This window comes from Homo sapiens, chromosome 1 (assembly GCF_000001405.40).
Source record: "Homo sapiens chromosome 1, GRCh38.p14 Primary Assembly".
Classification (NCBI taxonomy): domain Eukaryota; kingdom Metazoa; phylum Chordata; class Mammalia; order Primates; family Hominidae; genus Homo; species Homo sapiens.
The window spans coordinates 174,743,463-174,764,961 of record NC_000001.11 but is presented as its reverse complement, the minus strand read 5'-3'; the positions used below and the strand labels follow the sequence as shown (position 1 = coordinate 174,764,961).

The 21,499-nt window shown below is 39.0% G+C and overlaps 1 protein-coding gene and 1 pseudogene across 16 annotated transcripts in view; one reads left to right on the top strand and one right to left on the bottom strand.

Annotated features, from left to right (window-relative positions):
• Positions 1–21,499, bottom strand: part of RABGAP1L (RAB GTPase activating protein 1 like) — an 835,789-nt gene that overhangs the window by 230,347 nt on the left and 583,943 nt on the right. For all 16 annotated transcript variants that reach the window (NR_158982.1, XM_011510223.3, XM_047436028.1 and 13 more), the window contains one exon: positions 12,608–12,649. Coding sequence is in view for 14 of the 16 variants with exons in the window: in XM_011510223.3 (XP_011508525.1) it covers positions 12,608–12,649 (42 nt within the window). In the remaining 2 variants the exon portion in view is untranslated. The remainder of the gene's footprint in view (positions 1–12,607; positions 12,650–21,499) is intronic.
• On the top strand, positions 7,759–8,484 carry BANF1P4 (BANF1 pseudogene 4; annotated as a pseudogene).

The window sequence follows — 21,499 nt, the reverse complement described above, 5'->3', positions numbered from 1 at the left end:
AAGGGAGGAAAACATCATGGAAGGGCTGGATTAAAACACAGTGAACAATCAGGGGCTGTGGGAGGCAGCTTTATGGTATCAAGAGAGTGGGGTGCCCCCTAGCTCCCCTGGGATGATGTGATTGGCTTGTCTGAATAATGACACAGGCTGGCAAGGAACTGAAGTTTGCTACTCTAAGAAAGAACAATGCCACTGGGTATAGTGGCTCACGCCTACAGTCTCAGCTACTTTGGAGGCTGAGGCAGAAGGATTGAGTCTAGGAATTGGAGGTTGCAATGAGCTATGATTGTGCCACTGCACTCCAACCTGGGCAACAGAGTGAGACCCCAGCCCTAAAAAAACAAAATCAAAGAAAAGAACAGCGCCTCACCCTTTGGCTAAGGAGGGTTGTTTGGCTAGGAAACCTTATCCACAGGAGCAAAATAAGGAGGAGACCTTGCACTTAGGTGACTGGAGGCCTTCCTGATTTCTGCCAGATGTTGAGGCAGCACATCATATTGGGCTTTAATTTTAGGCCTTACAACATACTTATACGTTGCCACGGGGGATGTAATGGTGCAGCTGCTTTGGAAAACTGTTTGGCAGCTCCTTAAAAAGTTAAACACATAATTACCATATGATCCAAGAATTCTGTTCCTAGGCATATAACCAAGAGAACTGAAAGCATATGTTCACAAAACCTTGTACACAAATGTTCACAGTAGTATTATTCATAACAATCAAAATGGAAACAACTGAAATGTTTATTAACTGATTAATGGATAAATAAAATGTGGTACATTTGAACAATGGAATATTATCTAGCAATAAAAAGGAATTAAGAACTGATATATGCTACGACATGGATAAACGTTGAAAACATTATGCTAAGGAAAAAAAGCCAGTCACAAAAGACCACTTATCATATGATCCCATTTATATGAAATGTTCAGAATAGGTAAATCTACAGAGATAGAAAACAGATTAGAAGTTGTCAGGTGGTGATAGGATGGGGAAATGGGAAGTGGCTACTATGCTTATGGGGTGATAAGAATGTTCTAGAATTAGATAAAGGTGATGGGTGCACAAGTTTGTGACAACCCTACAAACCACTAATTGTACTTTTTTTTTTTTTTTTTTTTTTTGAGACGGAGTCTTGCTCTGTTGCCCAGGCTGGAGTGCAGTGGCACGATCTCGGCTCACTGCAAGCTCCGCCTCCCGGGTTCACGCCATTCTCTTGCCTCAGCCTCCTGCATAGCTGGGACTACAGGCACCTGCCACCACGCCTGGCTAATTTTTTTTTTTTTTTTTTTTTTTTTTTTTTTTTTTTTTGAGACGGAGTCTCGCTCTGTCGCCCAGGCTGGAGTGCAGTGGCGCGATCTTGGCTCACTGCAAGCTCCGCCTCCCAGGTTCACGCCATTCTCCTGCCTCAGCCTCCCGAGTAGCTGGGACTACAGGCGCCCGCTACCACGCCCGGCTAATTTTTTTGTATTTTTAGTAGAGACGGGGTTTCACCGTGTTAGCCAGGATGGTCTCGATCTCCTGACCTCGTGATCCGCCCGCCTCGGCCTCCCAAAGTGCTGGGATTACAGGCGTGAGCCACCGCGCCCGGCCAATTTTTTGTTTTTTAGTAGAGACGGGGTTTCACCGTGTTAGCCAGGATGGTCTCGATCTCCTGACCTCTGATCCACCCACCTCAGCCTCCCAAAGTGCTGGGATTACAGGCATGAGCCACCACACCCAGCCACTAATTGTACATTTTTAAAGGGAATTTTATGACACATAAATTATATCTCAATAATGAAAATGAGAGAAGCTAAATACTGGGGACAAGAGCAATTAATTTCAAGGTTTTTAAAAGCAAAGGAGGCCAGGCACGGTGGCTCATGCCTGTAATCCTAGCGCTTTGGGAGGCCAAGGCGGGTGGATCACTTTAGGCCAGGAGTTTGAGACCAGCCTGGCCCACATGGTGAAAGCCTGCCTCTACCAAAAATACAAAAATTAGCCAGGTGTGGCGGCGCATGCCTGTAGTCCCAGCTATTCCAGAGGCTGAGGCACGAGAACCTCTTAAACCTGGGAGGTGGAGGTTCCAGTGAGCTGAGATAGAGCCACTGCACTCCAGCCTGAGCAACAGAGCTAGAATCTATCTTAAAAAAAAAAAAAAAAAAAAAAAAAGCAAAGGAGACCTGGGTTGAAAAAGCTGCTATCCTGGCAGAATTCTTATTCATATACACATAGGAGGAAGTGAGGGAAAAGAAAACCTATGCTTTCTCAATTTGACTCTAAGTCAGTAGTCAATAAATATTTAAGTGCCTACTATGTGCCAGCAACTCCAATACAAAGGCAAACTAGTGGGCAGACCCCACATAGAGATTAACTACAATGAGGAAGACAACAACCAACCAACCATTTAATCAGGTATCAGTCCCAAGTATGCAAAGGACTGTCAAATAGATGTCCTAGAAGACAAAGGGAACCTGTGTTTTCACTGTCTAACCTAAGTTTGCAGAAGGCACAGAAAGTTCCTAACGTAGTAAAGCTAAATGGAAATTAGCTTATTGAAGAGAGGGAGACAGAGCATTCCTGGCAGAGGAAACCAGTATATGTGATGACTCTTAAGTGAAAGACAGATTGGTCTATTGGGAAAACCTGAAAGAAGTTCATTATGGCTTGATTGAGACAGTGCAAATGAGAGGGAGGGAAGGGGCAGTTGAGGATGGAGAGGTAAGTTGTGCCAGATCATAAAAACTATGTGGACTGTGTCAAAATTGTGAACTTTATCCTAAGAGCAATGGAGGCCTTTAAAGGACTTTAAGCAAGAAAAAATTTACTTCTCTGACCTCATCTCCTACCGCCCTTCCCTCACTCTCTTGTTGCAGTCTCGCTGGCTTCCATCTGTCCCTCAACACTCAGTCACACTCCCAGCACAGAGCATCCCCTCACTACCTGCAGTCTTTGTCCAAATCTCACCCTCTAGTTGGGGCCTATCCTGACTACCCTATTTAACATTGCAACCTACCCATAACTCCCATCACCCTGCGGTACTTTTCCTTTTCCCCATAATACTATAACTTCTAATATACTATATTTATATATTTATTATGTTTATTGTTGATATGGTTTGGCTGTGTCCCCACCCAAACCTCATCTTGAATTCTAACTCCCACAATTCCCATGTGTTGTGGGAGGAACTTGGTGGAATGTAATTGAATCATGGTGGTGGGTCTTTCCCATGCTGTTCTCCTGGTAGTGAATAGTCTCATGAGATCTGATGTTTTAAAAACGGGAGTTTCCACCGTCTGGGAAGTGAGGAATGCCTCTGTTCGGCCCTTGTCCGGCCCCCACACTGTCTCCGTCTGGGAAGTGAGGAGTGCCTCTGCCTGGCGGCCGCACCGTCTGAAAAATGAGGAGCGCCTCTGCTAGGCGGCCCCACCATCTGGGAAGTGAGGAGAGCCTCTGCTGGGAAGTGAGCAGCGCCTCTCCCCGGCCCCTGCATTGTCTGGGAAGTGAGGAGCACCTCTGCCTGGCGGCTGCACCGTCTGAAAACTGAGGAGCGCCTCTGCCTGGCCGTGCCACCCTCTGGGAAGTGAGGAGTGCCTCTCCCTGGCCCCCGCACTGTCTGGCAAGTGAGGAGCGCCTCTGCCGGACTGCTGTGCAACCATCCAAGTGTGAAGTGGCAGTCTTGTGTGTGATCTTTCTGGCCTCCTCAAGTTTGCATTTTTGACATTAAAGTTTACTTTTAAATTAAAAAATAAATAAATAAATAAAAACAAGAGTTTCCCTACACAAGCCCTCTCTCTTTGTCTGCTGCCATCCATGTTGGATGTGACTTGCTCCTCCTTGCCGTCCTTCATGATTGTGAGGCCTGGCCCAGCCACGTGGAACTGTAAGTCCATTAAACCTCTTTCTTTTATAAATTGCCCAGTCTTGTGTATGTCTTTATCAGCAGTGTGAAAATGAACTAATACAATTATCAACTGTCTCTTGCTAGAAAATAATTTCCACAGAGGCAAGTAGCTTTGTTACTTTAGTTCACTCATTTCTATTCAAGCACATAGAACAGTATCTGTCTCTAAATAGGTGTTTACTAAATATTGTTGAATAATGACTAAAATCTGCTTTAATAGTATTAAAAAGCCAAAAAACAACAGATGCTGGGTGAGGGTGAAGAGTAAAGAGAATGCTTATACACTGTTGGTGGGAATACAAATTAGTTCAGCCACCATGGAAAGCAGTTTGGCAATTTCTCAAAGAACTTACAACAGAATTACCATTTGATCCAGCCATCCCATTACTTTGTATATGCCCAAAGGAATATAAACTGTTCTACCATAAAGACACATGCACATGCATGTTCATCGCAGCACTATTCACAATAGCAAAGACATGGAATCAACCTAGATGCCCATCAACAGTACCCTGGTTAAATAAAATGTGGTAAACACTATAGAATACTATGCATCCATAAGGAGAATGAGATCATGTCCTTTGCAGCAGCATGGATGCAGCTGGAGGCCATCATCCGAAGCAAACTAACACAGAACAGAAAACCAAATACCACGTGCTCTCACTTGTAAGTGGGAGCTAAACATTGAGTACACGTGGACACAAAGAAGGGAACAATAGACATGGGGCCTACTTGAGGGTGGAGGAGGGTGAGGATCCAAAAACCACCTATTGGGTACTATGCTTATCACCTGGGTGAAGAAATAATCTGTATACCAAACCCCCATGACACACAATTTATCTATATAACAGACCTACACAAGTACCCCTGAAATTCAAAGTAAAAAAAAAAAAATCTGCTTTAAAAAGACTACTGGCAGTGTGGCAACGGACTCAACAATGGTCAAGAGTATATGGGGAAAGTGCAGTCACCCACTTCTGTCAGTTCCACTGCTAACACTCAAATCCAAGCCACCATCTTCTCAAACCTACCTCTTTCATAAACCTCAGCATGATCTAAACTAATCATATTGATATGGTTTGGATGTTTGTCCCCTCCAAATCTCATGTTGAAGTGTAGTCCCCTCCAAATCTCATGTTGAAGTGTAATCCCCAATGTTGAAGGTAGGGCCGAGTGGGAGGTGTTTGGGTCATGGGAGTGTAGATCCCTCATGAATGGCTTATTGCCATCCCCTTGCTAATGAGCTAGTTCTCACTCAGTGAGTTCACGTGAGATCTGGCTGTTGTAAAAGAGTCTGGGACCTCCCCCTTCTGTATCTTGCTTCTCCTCTTGTCATGTGATATACAGCTCCCCTTGCTTTCTGCCATGATTGTAAGCTTCCTGAGGCCCTCACCAGAAGCAGATATCAGTACTATGTTTCGTATATAACCTGTTGAACTGTAAGCCAAAATAAAACCATTTTTTTTCTTTTTTTTTTTTTGGAGACAGAGTCTCACTCTGTTGCCCAGGCTGGAGTGCAGTGGTGCAATTTTGGCTCACTGCAACCTCTGCCTCCCAGGTTCAAGAGATTCTCCTGCCTCAGCCTCCCAAGTAGCTGGGACTACAGGCACACGCCACCATGCCTGGCTAATTTTTATATTTTTAGTAGAGACAGGGTTTCACTATGTTGGCCAGGCTGGTCTCTAACTCCTGACCTCCAGTGATCCGCCCACCTTGGCCTCCCAAAGTGCTGGGATTACAGGCATGAGCCAATGTACCTGGCTGAAACTTCTTTTTTTTTTTTTTTTTTTTTAAATAAATTACCCAGCCTCGAATGTTTCTTTATAGCAATGCAAGAATGAACTAACATATATATTCATTTATTTGTTTAATTACTATCTTTCTCTCATTGGAATGCAAGTTCCATGAAAGCAGGGTCTTTCCTGGTTACTACTTTATCTCCAATGTCTAGAACAGTACCTGGCACTTCATAGGTATCCAATATTTATTATTACAGGAGGTCCTGCAATAATCCAGGAGGGCATCATCTTCCTGGAAAATTTGGTGGCCTAAAAGCTACCTAAGTAAGAATAGGAGAAAAGTGGGAAGATTCTAAAAATTTTCAAGAAGTAGAATCCACAGGACTTGGTGACTGAACTGATATGGGATATTGAGAAGAGAGTTAAGGATAACTTCTAGGTTTCTGGTTTGAGCAGCTGGGTAGAGTCCTTACTGAAGTGGAGGTTACTAGATGAAAAGTACATTTGGGAGGGCACATTATTTCAGTTTTGACTTTTGATGTGCCTGTGAAACATCCAAGCCGACATGTTCAGTCCACAGCCAAATATGTGGGTTTGGATTAAATATAAATGAGAGTAAACATCAACCTAAGTGCCCATCACCTGAGGAGTAGATGAGAAAATGTGATATATTAATATATACACCATGGAATACTACTCAGCCATAAAAAAGAATGAAATAATGTCTTTTGTAGAAACTTGAAAGAGGAGGCCATTATCCTAAGTGAAGTAACTCAGGAATGGAAAACCAAATACCAAATGTTCTCACTAAGTGAGAGCTAAGCTATGGGTATGCAAAAGCATACAAAGTAGAAAATGGACATTGGAGACTCAGAAGGGGAAAGGGTGGGAGGGCGGTGAGGGATTAAAAAAAATAAAAATAAATGAGAGTAAACATTTATAGATGAAACCAGGGGAATGAATAAGATCAACAAGGGAGAAGCAATAAGCAAATTCCTAGAGGCTGGAGATCTGTAGAACTCCAAGCTAATGGCTAGGGGGAAAAAGGAGTGAGGAAAAAAAAAGACAGAAGTAGCAGAGGGGGAGATAAAAGAAAGGACAGAAACCAAGGGAAGATGTTTCCAAAACATAAAAAAAGAAGGGGAAAAAAAAGGAAGCGTTGTGTATGTCATTATGCTGTTTTGACAACTGTTGAAGGATCAAGTAAGATACTAAAAAAGCTTCAATGGAATGGTAAGGAAAAACCATACTGGAAAGGGCTGAAAAGCCAAAAACATCAAAGATACACTTCAGAACTCTTTTTTTTTTTTTTTTGAGATGGAGTCTCGCTCTGTCACTCAGGCTGGAGTGCAATGGTGCAATCTTGGCTCACTGCAAACTCTGCCTCCCGGGTTCAAGCGATTCTTGTGCCTCAGCCTCCCAAGTAGCTGGGATTACAGGTGCCCACCACCACGCCTGGCGTTTTTTGTATTTTTAGTAGAGACGGGGTTTCGTCATGTTGGCCAGGCTGGTCTCGAACCCTTGACCTAATTCACCCACCTTGGCCCCCTAAAGTGTCAGAACTTTTATATAAGCCCCTCCAAACTAAGAGAAGGTCCAGTCTTCTAGAATTTAGCCATGATCCACTGCTTCCCTAAAGAAACTGGATATTCTCCCCAAAAAAGAAAATACTGGAGTCTTCAAAGCTGGCTGAAGAGCTTTATTTATATGATTTAGTAATAAAAAATTACTAAATCATTACTTTTAAATTGCTTTGTTTTACATTTATATTTATTATATTTATGTATAAATAAATTTATATATTTATATATTATATTTATATTTATAACTTGCTTTTGATTTCCATAAAGGTGCTTAATGTTTAGAAATTTTTGAAGAGTATGGGAAAATGTACTCTCACATTGCTAGCAGAGAAGAATTTTGTAATATGTATCCAAAATTAAAATTTGGTTACAGTTTGACCTAGCAATTCCATCTCTAGAAATTTACCCCAGAGATATCAGATAAGTATGCAAAGATGCAAGTTTAAGGATATTTGTTACGGTTTTATTTAACAGGAAATTCTGGAAACAAATGTCCATAAAAACTAAATATAAAATTGGTTAAATAAATTGTGGTACAGGGGAAAGTTCTAGTGGCTTGAGGTATAGGCAGGAGCAGCCAGGTGGCAGGAGGAACCATTATGGGAACTGAAGCTGACAATTAAACCTGAACAAGATTACAACCTCCCAAAAGCACCGAGACTTTGTGGCAGAGTCCGTGGGGGAAAAGCCAGTAGGGAGCCTGGCCGGGATTGGTGAAGTTATGGACAAGAAGCTGGAGGAAGGGTGCTTTGACAAGGCCTATGTTGTCCTTGGCCAGTTTCTGGTGCTAAAGAAAGATGAAGACCTCTTCTGAGAATGGCTGAGGGACACTGGTGGTGCCAATGCCAAGCAGTCCCAGGACTGCTTCAGATGCCTTCGAGAGTGGTGTGACACCTTCTTGTGATGCTTTCTGGGAAGCCCTCAATCCCCAGCCCTCATCCGGAGTTTGCAACCGAGTAGGGACTCCTCCCCTGTCCTCAACAAAGGAAAAGACTGCTATTGTCCTACTCACCTCCAATGTACTCCAGGGTCTTTTGGGAGTTTTCTCTCCTAATCATTTTAACTTTTTTGGATTCTCACTCTTGCATGCCTCCGCCTTCCTTTTTCCCCTGCTACTTCCCTGGGGACAGTCACCAGCTTTCCTGAATGGATTCCTGGCCCCATCCCTCACCCCCACCCTCAATTTCAGTCCGTTTGATACCATTTGGCTCCTTTTTTGGCAGAAAAGTCACTGTCCTTGTAAAGTTTTTTAGATCAATAAAGTCAGTGGCTTTCAAAAAAAAATATATATATATATGGTACAGGGCAGGGTGCGGTGGCTCATGCCTGTAATCCCAACACTTTGGGAGGCTGAGGCAGGTGGATCACCTGAGGTTAGGAGTTCGAGACCAGCCTGGCCAACATGGTGAAACCCCGTCTCTACTAAAAATACAAAATTTAGCAGGGCTTGGTGGCTTGCACTTGTAATCCCAGCCACTCAGGAGGCTGAGGCAGGAGAATCACTTGCACCCCAGGAGGCGGAGGTTGCAGTGAGCCAAGATTGTGCCACCGCTCTGCAGCCTGGGCAACAGAACCAGACTCTGCCTCAAAATAAATTATGGCACATACAGTAGGATAAAAACCAGTCAAAAGAGAAATTCTGTCTCTAACAATAGCACCTCAGTACACTGTAGTACTGAGTTCTAGGCATCAATCATATATTAACTCATTAAACTCTGACAACAATCTTATGAGACTGGTATTACTAATATTCCCCCATTTAAAAAATGGAGAAATTGTAATTTACCTAAGACCATTGGATAAATTGTTTTGAATGAATCTGAATTTAAGTAGTCTGACTCCAATGTCCACATGCTTTTAACCCTTACATGTGTTTAGTGACATGGAAAGATATTCACGATATACTGAATGAAAAAGAGTATTGTTCAACAGCATTTTTTGAAAGAAAATAAATTTATGTGCATCCTTTCACACTGTTCTTCTGGATTTCCTCCCACTTTCCCATCTTATCTCAAACTCAGATTAAAAATATACATACATACATATATACATATGTGTATAGGTAGGTAATGCATACTTATATAACCATAGGCCAAAGCATGGGATAAAGGTTTTATACCAAGTTTTTATTATGGTCATCCCTGGGAACAGGATTATGATTGGGCTTTCTTTATCTCTGTAGTGTCTGCATACACATGTAGGACACGAAATAAGCATATAATACTTTGGGAAGGCCAGAGAAAAACACTCTGTCATTTGCTTTTAACCACGGACAGCAAACAAAAAACCTATTCTGACTGAAAAATTTCTGTGCCCAACATGAAGTGCTAAGAACAATTCTGACTGATCATCTCCAGTCTATTAAATCTATTGAATGTATTCTATGACTACCTAATGTTTCATATAAGTAAATAAATTACATTTGGAGGAATATATCTGACCTACCTACTGGACACAAAATGATTTCATGATGCTGCCTAGTATTGTGAATCATTCTTTTAGGTCCATAGCTTTTTAGCTACCTGATAGGCTATTACTAACCAAAAAGAAGTTGGTCCCGTTCAGAAAGTAGGTGTCTTTAAAACCTAACTGAGCAACACAGAATTCATCCTATATCTATCCCATTCAAAAAAATTATAAATCCAACTTTCCCACTACTGAGACAAAAGTCTTAAGGTGATCTTGAGCTTTGATCTCTCAATTATCAACTAGGGGCTGGGGGAAGAATTAGATGTTTTCTCTGGCTAATACCATTACTATTCTACAAATAAATCCTAGACATTTAATGTATGTTAATGAGATAATCTGTTAGTACTTAACACAGAGTATAAATGTTCAAGAAATGTTAGTTCTGTCCCCTCATCACAAGAAATGCTTATAATACAGAGAAATCTGAAGTCTCTCTGTAGCTATACTGAAAATTCCTTAGGCTCAATTCATAAGCACTTTGAAGGCCAGGCTCATTGGCTCACACCTATAATCCCAGTGCTTTGGGAGGCCAAGGCAGGAGGACTGCTTGAGTCCAGGAGTTTGAGACCAGCCTGAGCAACATAGTGAGACCCCTGTCTCTACAATATTTTTAAAATTAGCTGGGCATGGTGGCATCTACCTGTAATTCTAGCTCCTCAAGAGGCTGAGGAGGGAGGATCACTTGAGCCCAGGAATTTGAGGCTGCAGTAAGCTATCACCACGCCACTATACTCCAGCCTAGGCAACAGAGTGAGCAGAATAAGACCCTGTCTCAAAAAGCAAAAAACAAAACAAAACAAAAGAAAAAAAAACCCAGCAATTTGAACTTCTCCAAAGTTTTTAATTTTGATATAAACAAATACATATTATTTTATCTGGTATACTACACTAGAAGCTGAAAGTCAGTGACTGTCATATATGTTTGCGTATTCTTTTTTTCCAAGTGGTGGCAATAGATCATTAAAGTACACTTCAGTTTAGTCCCATATATACTCTGTCTATTGGGGGGGTCAGCTTCAGGATTCATATAAGGAAGTTACATAAATATAGGGCACTAGTGGTGAGAAGGCTCTTTTTATCTTCTCTAACTAGTAAAATTCTCTAAGATGATGCTACAAGAGTGCCCATGTATTGCTAAAGAAGACAGACAAAGCCTTCCTGCCCAGTGGCCAGAGTATGTCCTCTGTAGAGGCCTTGTCTGTGTTAACATGGACAAAATAAATGAAAATAATATGAACAAGTCAACATGTCAATCAAGAAGATAATTTACTAATGTATATAGTATTAAGTTGACACAGGGTATAGGTCTGATATCCAGAGAGGTAGTCCTGGGTTACTCAAAAGACAGATTAAGCATTCAGTGAAAGCACTAGTAAAGATAAGTCACCAAAAAAATGAGGAAAGGCATTTTAGGAAAGACATAATATCTGAGAGTTTAAAACATTAGATATAATATGAGAAATCAGAACTTTCTTGGACCTCCTTATACTTACTTTATGTTTTAATATTTTTTTAGTCTGTATTACATATACTTTCAATGCTTAGGCATTCTAAAAGTCTTATTCCAGCCCTGTTGAGAGGACATGTTGGAAAGTTTCAGCTTGGATTTGTTTTAATGAAAGAAAAAAATTAGAGGTCAAAACCCATGACTTCATTAAGGGACACAGCAAATATGTTTGTGTTATTTTATTTAAAATATTTTTCTATTTTCTAAATAGCTTTGGCATAAAAAATATATAAACACAATCGATTTAATTTTAAAAAGTGTATCTTATGAACTTCACAAAGAGCAAATGTGTAAAGGAATAAGAGATGAGGAATAGAAATCCACTTACTGAGTTGCAGAGGGCCTGTACTATTTCATGCCTTTGTTTAGAATCAAGGTTATGTTAATGGTTAGGTATGGTTAAGGCTCTCCTAACGTATCAAGAGGTCCTCCTATGATACCACATCATTATCTTTTGAGAGATTCAGAAGAATGATAAGGGATCTAAGAACACATTCTGAGTCACCTTGTAAAGAACAATAATAATGACAGCTAACTTTACTAGGCAGTAAAATGTTCTAGATACTATACTAAGGACTTCTTTGATCATCTCAATTCTTTTAACAATCCCATAAATTAATTCCTATTATTATCTCAAAACCCAGACTTTGAGCACTTAGAAAAATTTGCCTAAGGTCATATGGTAGGGCTGAAATTAGAAGCAAATCTGTCTGAGTCCAGGTCTGCCATTTTAACCACCATGTTATACTGAGGAAAGGGTAAGCCTGTGCCTTTGAGGCAATTATTGCCTTTAATATCAGAATGTCTTCTCTGACTGAAGGACAAAAACCAGCTGGGTTATCTTCATCAACTCTGCAGCAAATGCCTTGCAGTTACCACATTATTAAAGCTGTATGATATGTTGACATAAAATCCAACAAGGTAATTACAATAGAATTCTAAAGTGTTTTATAAATTTCTAACTATCATGGAAAGAACTGCAAATTGAAATGTAGCAGTTTCTTTTTTAGTCAGTATATTATAAAAACTTTTTAATAATTCAATTATATGTTTAGGTACCTCCAGAGATGTTATAGTAAAAAGTGTTTTAAGAAAAAAGCAGGCATCATTTTGACAGAAAACAATTTTTAACCTTTTCTCTTATATCATCCAATTCATATGATAAAAAGATATTTTATGTTACTGGAAAGAGCTCTATGATAGTACCATTAAATAAATGGATTATAAGAAAAAAAAGACTCCAAATAAACAACAACAGAAAAAGATGAGAGGAGGGAAGAGGATCAGAGTTTCTCAGAGAAGTCATCTATTTTTGTGTGTCTGAGAAACTGAAATGAGTCAAAGACTGTAAATTGAATTATTCCAGTTCCAAGGGCAAAGAGGTAAGAGAATGTGGTAACTTAAGATTAAAAAAAAGACTTACCTTTAGGAGAGCCAAAGCTACATGAAAGATTATGTTCAAACCCTGAAATAGAAAAAGAAAGTGAAGATTAGTACTGCCACATGTATCACTATTTTATTATTTCCCCAAGACTTCCACATATATTTAATAAAATTCCTAATTGCTTTCATCTTCACAAACAATAATTAAACCATGAGTTTTTTTTTAAAGGTATTTTCTTTCCCTGAGTGGCTTGTTATAAATTTTAGGTGCTATTTAATCAATGTTCACATAAAATTGTTTTTACAATAAGTTATTTCCCTTCAGTCAATTTCTGGATTATTTGCATGTGCCTAAGTCTTGTGAAAGTCAAGTTCCTTGCTCAAGCTGGCATAATGATGCAGAAGTCTAAAATTATTAATTGAAATTCCTAACCCTAATCTGGACATCTCGGTGTTACAGTTAAACTGCAAGTGGCAGACAGAATAAAATAAAAAAAAACAAGGCAGTGTTGCTGATAAGTGGGACAGATTGTGTACTGGAGGCTTTAAGTATCACACTGCATTTCCACTACAGTTCTTATTGTTTTCTTATTTGTTTTAGCAATTGCTTTCAAGTATTATTTGTATAACTAGAGGTGGTCATTAGGGGCTATCTGCCAGACTTCCTTTCCTTTTCTGAAAACCATAGCAATATTTCTTTAGAAATAAACAAATTAAATTGTTCCTTAAGAAGCTATTCTAGAACTGAATTTTGAACTCTGGGTTCTGCCCAATTGCTCTGAAGAGACATTGAGTTATTAAATTCAAAAGATAGAGAATCTTATATGATAAAGGTAACAATCAGAAATGTTTGCTACAAAATGTGCTGTTTCCTTGCCATGCAAGTCATCATACATAAGAAAAAAGATATTTCAAGTATGAGTTGGCATAAGTCCCATAAGTCCAGGGTCTATTTGATGTGCCCTCTTCATCTTGGTCACTGATACATTCTGGCTGGCTTTTGGATATGGAGCTATACCAAATGTGCTATCCAAAAAACTTATAATAAACCATGCTTCTTCTGTCTCTGAAATAACTCCAGAAGCAAGGATTAGGCCCAGATATTTAGAGTGTATTCCTGTTATGATTTGCTAACATAAACTTTCACATTCAGGTACCAGAAATATAACATAATGATGGAAGGAATGAATGATAAACACAAATATTCAGTTGGTTAAAATATAAACCAAATATTTTTGGTTTGGGGTTTACTCAGCTGATTATTTAAGAAACCAAAAGCAATAGGAAATAAGTATAATCAGGCCAGGAGATAAAAACAAATGAACACAGTTCATTACCATACTAAGCAATTATCCTGGACTGGTTTTGACCACAATTTACCAATTAGAAAAAAAAGACTATTACAGATTTTAAAATGTGGGTTACAATTAAGCAAAATTTGCTTTCTGAATCAAAATTTGACTTCTCACCCACTAGCTGCTGCCCACCTGCCAAAACTTAAAGGCCAATATAAAAAAGACCTACTGCCCTGTTCTCCAACTCTGTCCACCACCACATCACAACCACTAGGCAACAGTGAATTCTCACAACCTGAGTGTTTATCAGCTTGCCATCAGAACCTGATCCACTATTTCTCTGGTTCTTGTTTTTCCAGTCACTGCTCAAAATGCAAATCCCTCTCATGTCTAGTTTTCTCATCTTCATAATGCTCTGGTCCTTTATCCTAAGCTAGTTTGCTACTCCTCCTTTCCTTTCCAAATCCTTTCATGGTAGCCTTTGGAAACTCCACTCCATGTTCAGCTACCTTGGCTGTATTCTTAACCTCCCTGTCAAACATTCCCCCCAAATTCCTTACATTCACAGGAATTGTGAAATTTCATTGATTGTTATAACAACCTATACAATGATTCTCATTTCTTAGAGTATGAATGTGACTAGCCCAATATTATACCTGTGAAAACCAAAAAGACAATTCTAAGCCCTCCAACTGACTAAGCTGGGACCAAAGGGACCCAGCTAAACCTGAAAAAAATAGTTCAGATCACGACAGGAAGGGGCAATCAGGCATGCCTCATTATACTCTCCTCCCTTTGGAGTTCAGGCACACAACTGACCAGCATTAACATTAAAAGAGAGATCCTAAGACAGACAGCAAACACCCTGTAGCAATAAGATACCAAATTCCAACGTGATTCTAAGTATAGCATCACATAGCAGATAGCAGGGCCCTGAAAGAAACCAAACTATTTTATCCCAAAAGCACTTTGGGAGACCGAGGCAGGCGGATCACGAGGTCAGGAGATCGAGACCATCCTGGCTAACATGGTGAAACCCAGTCTCTACTAAAAATACAAAAAATTAGCCGGGCGTGGTGGCAGGCGCCTGTAGTCCCAGCTACTTGGGAGGCCGAAGCAGGAGAATGGTGTGAACCCAGGAGGCGGAGCTTGCAATGAGCCGAGATCGCACTCCAGCCTGGGTGACAGAGCGAGACTCCATCTCAAAAAAAATAAAATAAAATAAAGATTCCTTGAACATATTTTGAAATGGTCCTACAAAGTTGTCTCTTGTGGGGAAAATTTACTTTCTATAGAGGATTCCCTTCTCTTTCCAGGTCACTTTCTGATCCTGAAGAGATTGGCTGAGAGTCTAGAACCTTTTTAGGATGTCTAAAGGAAACATTTGCCATTTATTGCCTCTGGGAGTGGTTACCCATAAGACTTCATATACATAATAAGAACTCTAGTCTTTACAAGCCCTTATCTTAACCCAGACACTCCTTTCTGTTGATTCCAGGTTTTTAGATAATAACAACTCTTTCAACCAATTGCCAATCAGGAAATCTTTGCCAACCTGGGCAACAAAGTGAGACCCCATCTCTACAAGAAAGTAAAAAAAAAATTAGCCAGGTGTGGTGGTACACACCTGTGGTCCCAGCTTCATGGGAGGCTGAGGCAGGAGGAGTGCTTGAACTGAGGAGGTTGAGCTGCAGTAAGCCAAGATCACACCATTGCACTCCAGCCTAGATGACACAGCGAGACCCTGTCTCAAAAAACAAACAAAAAGAAAGAAAGAAAAGAACAGAAAAAAAAAAAGATAACATTTTTGAATCCACCTATGACCTGGAAGCCCCATCTCTGAATTATTGCTGCACTGAATGAATGTATGCTTCACATCACATGTATTGACTGATGTCTTTTCTTTTTTCTTTTTTTTTTTTTTGAGACAGAGTCTTGCTCTGTCGCCCAGGCTAGAGTGCAGTGGTGCAATCTTGGCTCACTGCAACCTCCACTTCCTGGGTTCAGGCGATTCTTGTGCCTCAGCCTCCCATGTAGCTGGGGCTACAGGCTCTGCCACCACACCTGGCTAACTTTTGTATTTTTAGTAGAGGCGGGGTTTCACCATTTTGGCCAGGCTAGTCTCAAACTTTTGACCTCAAGTGATCTGCCCGTCTTGGCCTCCCAAAGTGCCGGGATTACATGTGTGAGCCAGCGCACCCGGACTGATGTCTTTTTTTTTTTTAAGAACAGAGTCTCGTTCTGTCACCCAGACTGGAGTGCAGTGGCACCATCAGAGCTCACTGCAGCCTTGACCTTTTGAACTCAAGCAATCTTTCCACATCAGCCTCCCAAGTAGCTGGAACTACAGGCATATGCCACCACGCCCAGATAATTTTTTTTTCTTTTTTTTTGGTAGAGAGGGTTTCACTATATTGCCCAAGCTATTCTTGAACTCCTGGCCTCAAGCAACCCTCCTGCCTCAGCCTCCCAAAGTGCTAAGATTAAGGGCATGAGCCACTGTGCTCGGCCATGGATTAATGTCTTATGTTTCCCTAAAACATATAAAACCAATCTGAAACCCAATCACCTTGGGCACATGTTCTCAGGACCTCCTGAGGCTGTGTCATGGATCATGGTCTGTAACTTGGCAAAATAAACCTCTAAATTGATTGAAACCCATCTCAGATGTTTTTGGTTTACATATGTGTTTAGTAACAGGCTAGAATCACCCCCTCAAGCCTCCTGTGTGAGATATTCTCACACAGTGCTGGTATAATGTGCATAGTAAATGCTTATTTGAAGACTGAATGATTAAACTACACTAGCTTTCCCAAATTTTCGGGGGTTGATTATTTCCCTGTGGACCCAACTAGACCAATTTACAGAATTATCATCAAATTACAGTAAGAACCCCTTTCTTCAATTATCTCAAAATCAAACAATTAGACAACCAAGCTGTCCAAGACACAAAGAACTTACAAGTAAAAATTAAGTAAATAAAGATCTCTAAATAGCCAAAATAGCTCTCACAAACACCAAGAGGAAACTTTGCTAAACTTTTTATTCTATACATACTTCCAGTTAGTTTGGTGATATGATTTTGAAGCTTATAGATATTACAAGTAGCAAACTACAAGATAAAGTATGTGCCAGATGGGGTCAGGGATAGATAGCTTATAGAGACAGTTGTCAGAATTAAAATATTAGATCTCACAGAAATGAAGACATATATTAAAAAAAAAAAAAGATAAAATGCATAGCTCTCTGGGTCCACTTGGGGGAGCCAATAATCTTCAATAGTTAATTATTAACTACTGTTAATTGTCATTATTAATAATGATAATCCAGCAGGATTGATGAATGCTTATATCATGTTATAATACTGTGCTTAAGAAGGGAGGTGAGTGTGTGTTTTAAATAAAAAGTAGATAATGATGTTTTGAAGTTTGGGAAGCTAAAGAGGAAACTTTCAGTTACCAGAAAAATTTATGTATGTAAATTCTTTAAACAAGTTCAGAAAAATAAGGTATTACTATATCTGCTTATATGAAGCTCTAGACATTACCCATAAAAATAAAGACTTCATAAGCCTTGAACTAAAGTAGAACAGAGTGGCTAGACGATGCAAACAAATACACTTTAAGACATTTGAGTTGATGGAATTCAGAAAAGAACTTGTTATTCTATCAGGTTTTTTTTTTTTTTTTTTTTTTTTAGAGATAGAATTTCACTCTGTCACACAAGCTGGAGTGCAGTGGTGTGATCACCACTCACTGCAGCCTCAACCTCCCAGGCTCAAGCAATCCTCTCAACTCAGCTTCCAAGTAGCTGGGACTACATGTGTGTGCCACCATATCTGGCTAATTTTTAATTTTTTCGTAGAGATGAGGTATCCCTATGTTGCCCAAGCTGGTCTCCAATTCCTGGGCTCAAGTGATCCTTCTGCCTTGGCCTCACAACATGCTGGGATTACAGGCATGAGACAATACACTCAGCCTTGAAATGTATTTTTAAAAGCAAAATATCTCATACATTTTCAAGATGCCTCCCATTTTTAGGAATATGTAATCCCCAGCAATTTGTTTGTTCTTAAGGGGAAAACATGTACGTAGTAGGAGTCAAAGGTTTGGAGAATTATTAAGAGTAAAAAATAAGTAAACATATTATGGCCACTTATCATTTATAGTACAAGGTCTAACTCCAAATGCAAAATAATAACCAACATCTACTGAGTATTTTGTATGTGCCAAGATATGAATTAATTACATTAAAGGCATGTCCCTATTTCATCCCACAACCACCTAAAATTCCATTTTATACACAAGGAAATCAAGATTTAGAGAAATCAAAGTAACTTTCCTAAGTCCAATAGCTAATAAGTGCAGATCTAGGATTTTAACCTAATTCCAAAAGTGATACTCTAAACAATTAAGTTAGAGAAGATGATTCAATGAATATGTGAATGAATGAATAAATCTCTTATTTGGATATTATTTAATGTGTCCTCTACTTCCTAAAGGATTAAAGTGATTCTTTCCATTTAAAGGCAAGTAAATTTTGAGAGCAGAGAGTAAAAAGATAACAAATAAGTGACTTCTACCAGAACTAAATTCTATTATTTGTTTCCATATTGAAAACACTCAAAAAAAGTAGCTGACTGCTTGCAGTATATGAGGCAACAAAAACCCAACTTGCTGTGGGAAGAAAGGGTCACCACCTTCCTCTAATGACAACAGATTGAGATCAGCCTTGCATGCATGACGAAGTAGCTTTTTAACTGATTTGGATACTGCTATTTCAAAATTCAATTACATTCTGGCATCATCTTTGCTTTAAAGAACACCTACAAGTAATTGCCCCAAATTGAATAATTGCTCCAAAGTGCAGATCATGATGTTCTTGGGTAGGCCAAGGATTAAGCACCCACAATCTTGCATAAAATAACAGCTGACAGTAGAGCACTCACTGAAACAAAGACACTGAACATTCTGGCTCTGATAAGCAGGCAATCGTGGGTTCAGAGAGAGCTGACAGATTGTGTGAGAAGCTGTCAAAAACTTAAGCTGACAGCACTGAGAACAAATGCTGAAAAGGTAGTGTCAAAAAGTACCAAGTGTGCATCAGCACCTGGGTTCTTAGGAATCAAAATAAAAGGGAAATAATGGAAATCCTAACAACAAGTCAATAAACCAAATTACCAAATTATCAAACCAAAAATGGCCAAAGTAAATGGAGCAGGTTCACAGACAAAGCTAGAGGAAATGGGGTTCTGTCCTTTCTGACCCATACAAAAGAAAACATACCACCCTAGGAAGAGATAATGACTAAATGAGATAGCATACATCAAGTGAACTGAGTATTTGGTAAATATTCGATAAACACTAGCAATTATTATTATTAGGTTCATGTATTTATTGCCCATTATATCCAGTATTTTATATTTTTCACTTAATCCTCTCAACAGCTCTATGGCATATGTATTATTGCCACCATTTTAGAGATGGCTAAACTGAAGCTCAGAGACAGAACACTGTTAGTAAATGGTAAAGCCAGGCTATAACTCAGGTCTATCAGACTAAAGCAAATCCAGGCTTTTTTCCACTAATTCCATCTTGAGTGCCAACTCAGTGAGACTTTTGTTAGATATCTGTGATGGATTAAAGAGTCACAATTATTTGATGCTTCTCCATTGAGAGTTAAGGTCTCTGTTCTCTCATTTCAACCTGGGCAGACTATGGTACTGCTTTTACCAGTAGAATATGGTGGAAGTGATGCCATGCTAGTTTATGTGCCCAGGCCTTCAGATATTGACAGCTTTCATGTTCAGTCCCTTGGAGCACTCACTTTTCGAAGCCAGCTACCATATAAGAAGTGCAATTATACTTATACTCCCATGCTCTCTAAGGAACCAAGCAATCAAAAGAAGGCCTGGAGAACCAGATTTCATCAGTAAAGAAGAAAGACCAAGAATCACCAAAGTGGTAGATATGTGAGTAAAGAAGTCATCTGGAAGTGAATCAGGTGGTCCAGCTGATGCCAAGTGGATCAGAGATGAACCACACAGTTGAATTCCAAAATTTCTGACTCATGAGATTGTAAGAAAATAAATGATTGGTTTTAATTACTTTTTTTCACTTGGAAATAATTTCGGATTTAGAAAAACTTTGCAAAAACAGTACCAAGAAGTCCTACATATCCTTCACTCAGTTTTACCCAAACATTAACATCTTACATAACCATAGTATAATGATCAAAACCAAGAAACTATTATTTTTATCAAATGCTCCACTAATGCCCTTTTTCTGGTCCAGGATGCAATTCTGGATTATATATTGAATTTGGTTGTCATGTCTCCTTAGTCTCCTTTCATATGGGACCGTTTTCAGTGTTTATTTTTCATGACCTTGATGCTTTGGAAGAGTATTGGCCAGTTATTTTATAAAATGTCCCTCAACTCGATATGTCTACTGGTTCCTTATGATTAAATTCAGAATATGTATTTTGGGCACAAATACCACAGAAGTGATGCTGTGCCCTTCTCAGTGCATTCTATCAGGAGGTTACATAACATCACTATATGTCTCACTATAAAAATCATTGTCCTTTTAAAGCCACTCAGTTTTCGTATAGCTTGTTATATATTACAGGTAATCAAAAGAAAATCCATTTGGCTTCTCTGATAAATTTCTTGCTGCTATGATCTATAAAGCAATGCATTGTTTCAAAGAAAGTAGTGAAAGTGACAGATAATTAACACGCAAAAAGAAATAAGTTAATACTAGCTGCTCTTAAATACAGGTTCTACAGCAAGAATATTTAGAATATTAGCCAAAAATTCTTTTACTTTATTCTGCTTCTCATGTTTTAATCTCTTTGAAAGTTTAATATTTTAGGTTGGCTAATGGTGCTTGATGGAGTAACTAAATAAAAGAATGTGATGTTTGGGTTTTGTTCTGAATGTCCACTAGAGGTCAGGATTGCAGCACTGAAAATCAATCGCTTTTTTTTTTTTTTTTTTTTTTTTTTTACGTATTTCACAGACCAACATAGTAGCCTTGTATACAAATTGAGACATGCTGTTTTAAAACCCTTATGGCTAAGTCCTCCCTTATTTTTACTATTAATTTACTAACATATACCAAAAAAAAAGGATGACTCCCACCCTTCCTTTCCTCTAGCTTAATTATATATTTTCCATTTTATTATAGTTATTTGTTATACAGTTTTTTCATAAATGACTAGTGAATGAGAAAGAGTTCAAGAATGGGTAGGGATGAGAGATAAGTTTAACATGAATGCATCTGTTTAGTCATGAGTAATTTTAAAATATTTTCTTGGTTTACACTTGTTTGTACAGATTAAGTAGTAAAATATCTACAAAATCTAGAAGTCTTTATCATAGGTGACTCTGAGAAGAATTTTTTTTAAAAAAACATAGTTTTGCTATTATTTATTTATTTATTCATTTATTTTAAACTTTTATTTTAGGTTCAAAGGTATATGTTCAGGTTTGTTATGCAGGTAAACTTGTGACATAGGGGGTTTGTTGAACAAGGAAAGAAATTTTTAGAGGTTTGTGACATCTGAATTAGATAAAACTTTCAGAAACAAGGCAGGCAAAATGAGATAAGGAAATCAAATTAGAGGTTTTAACA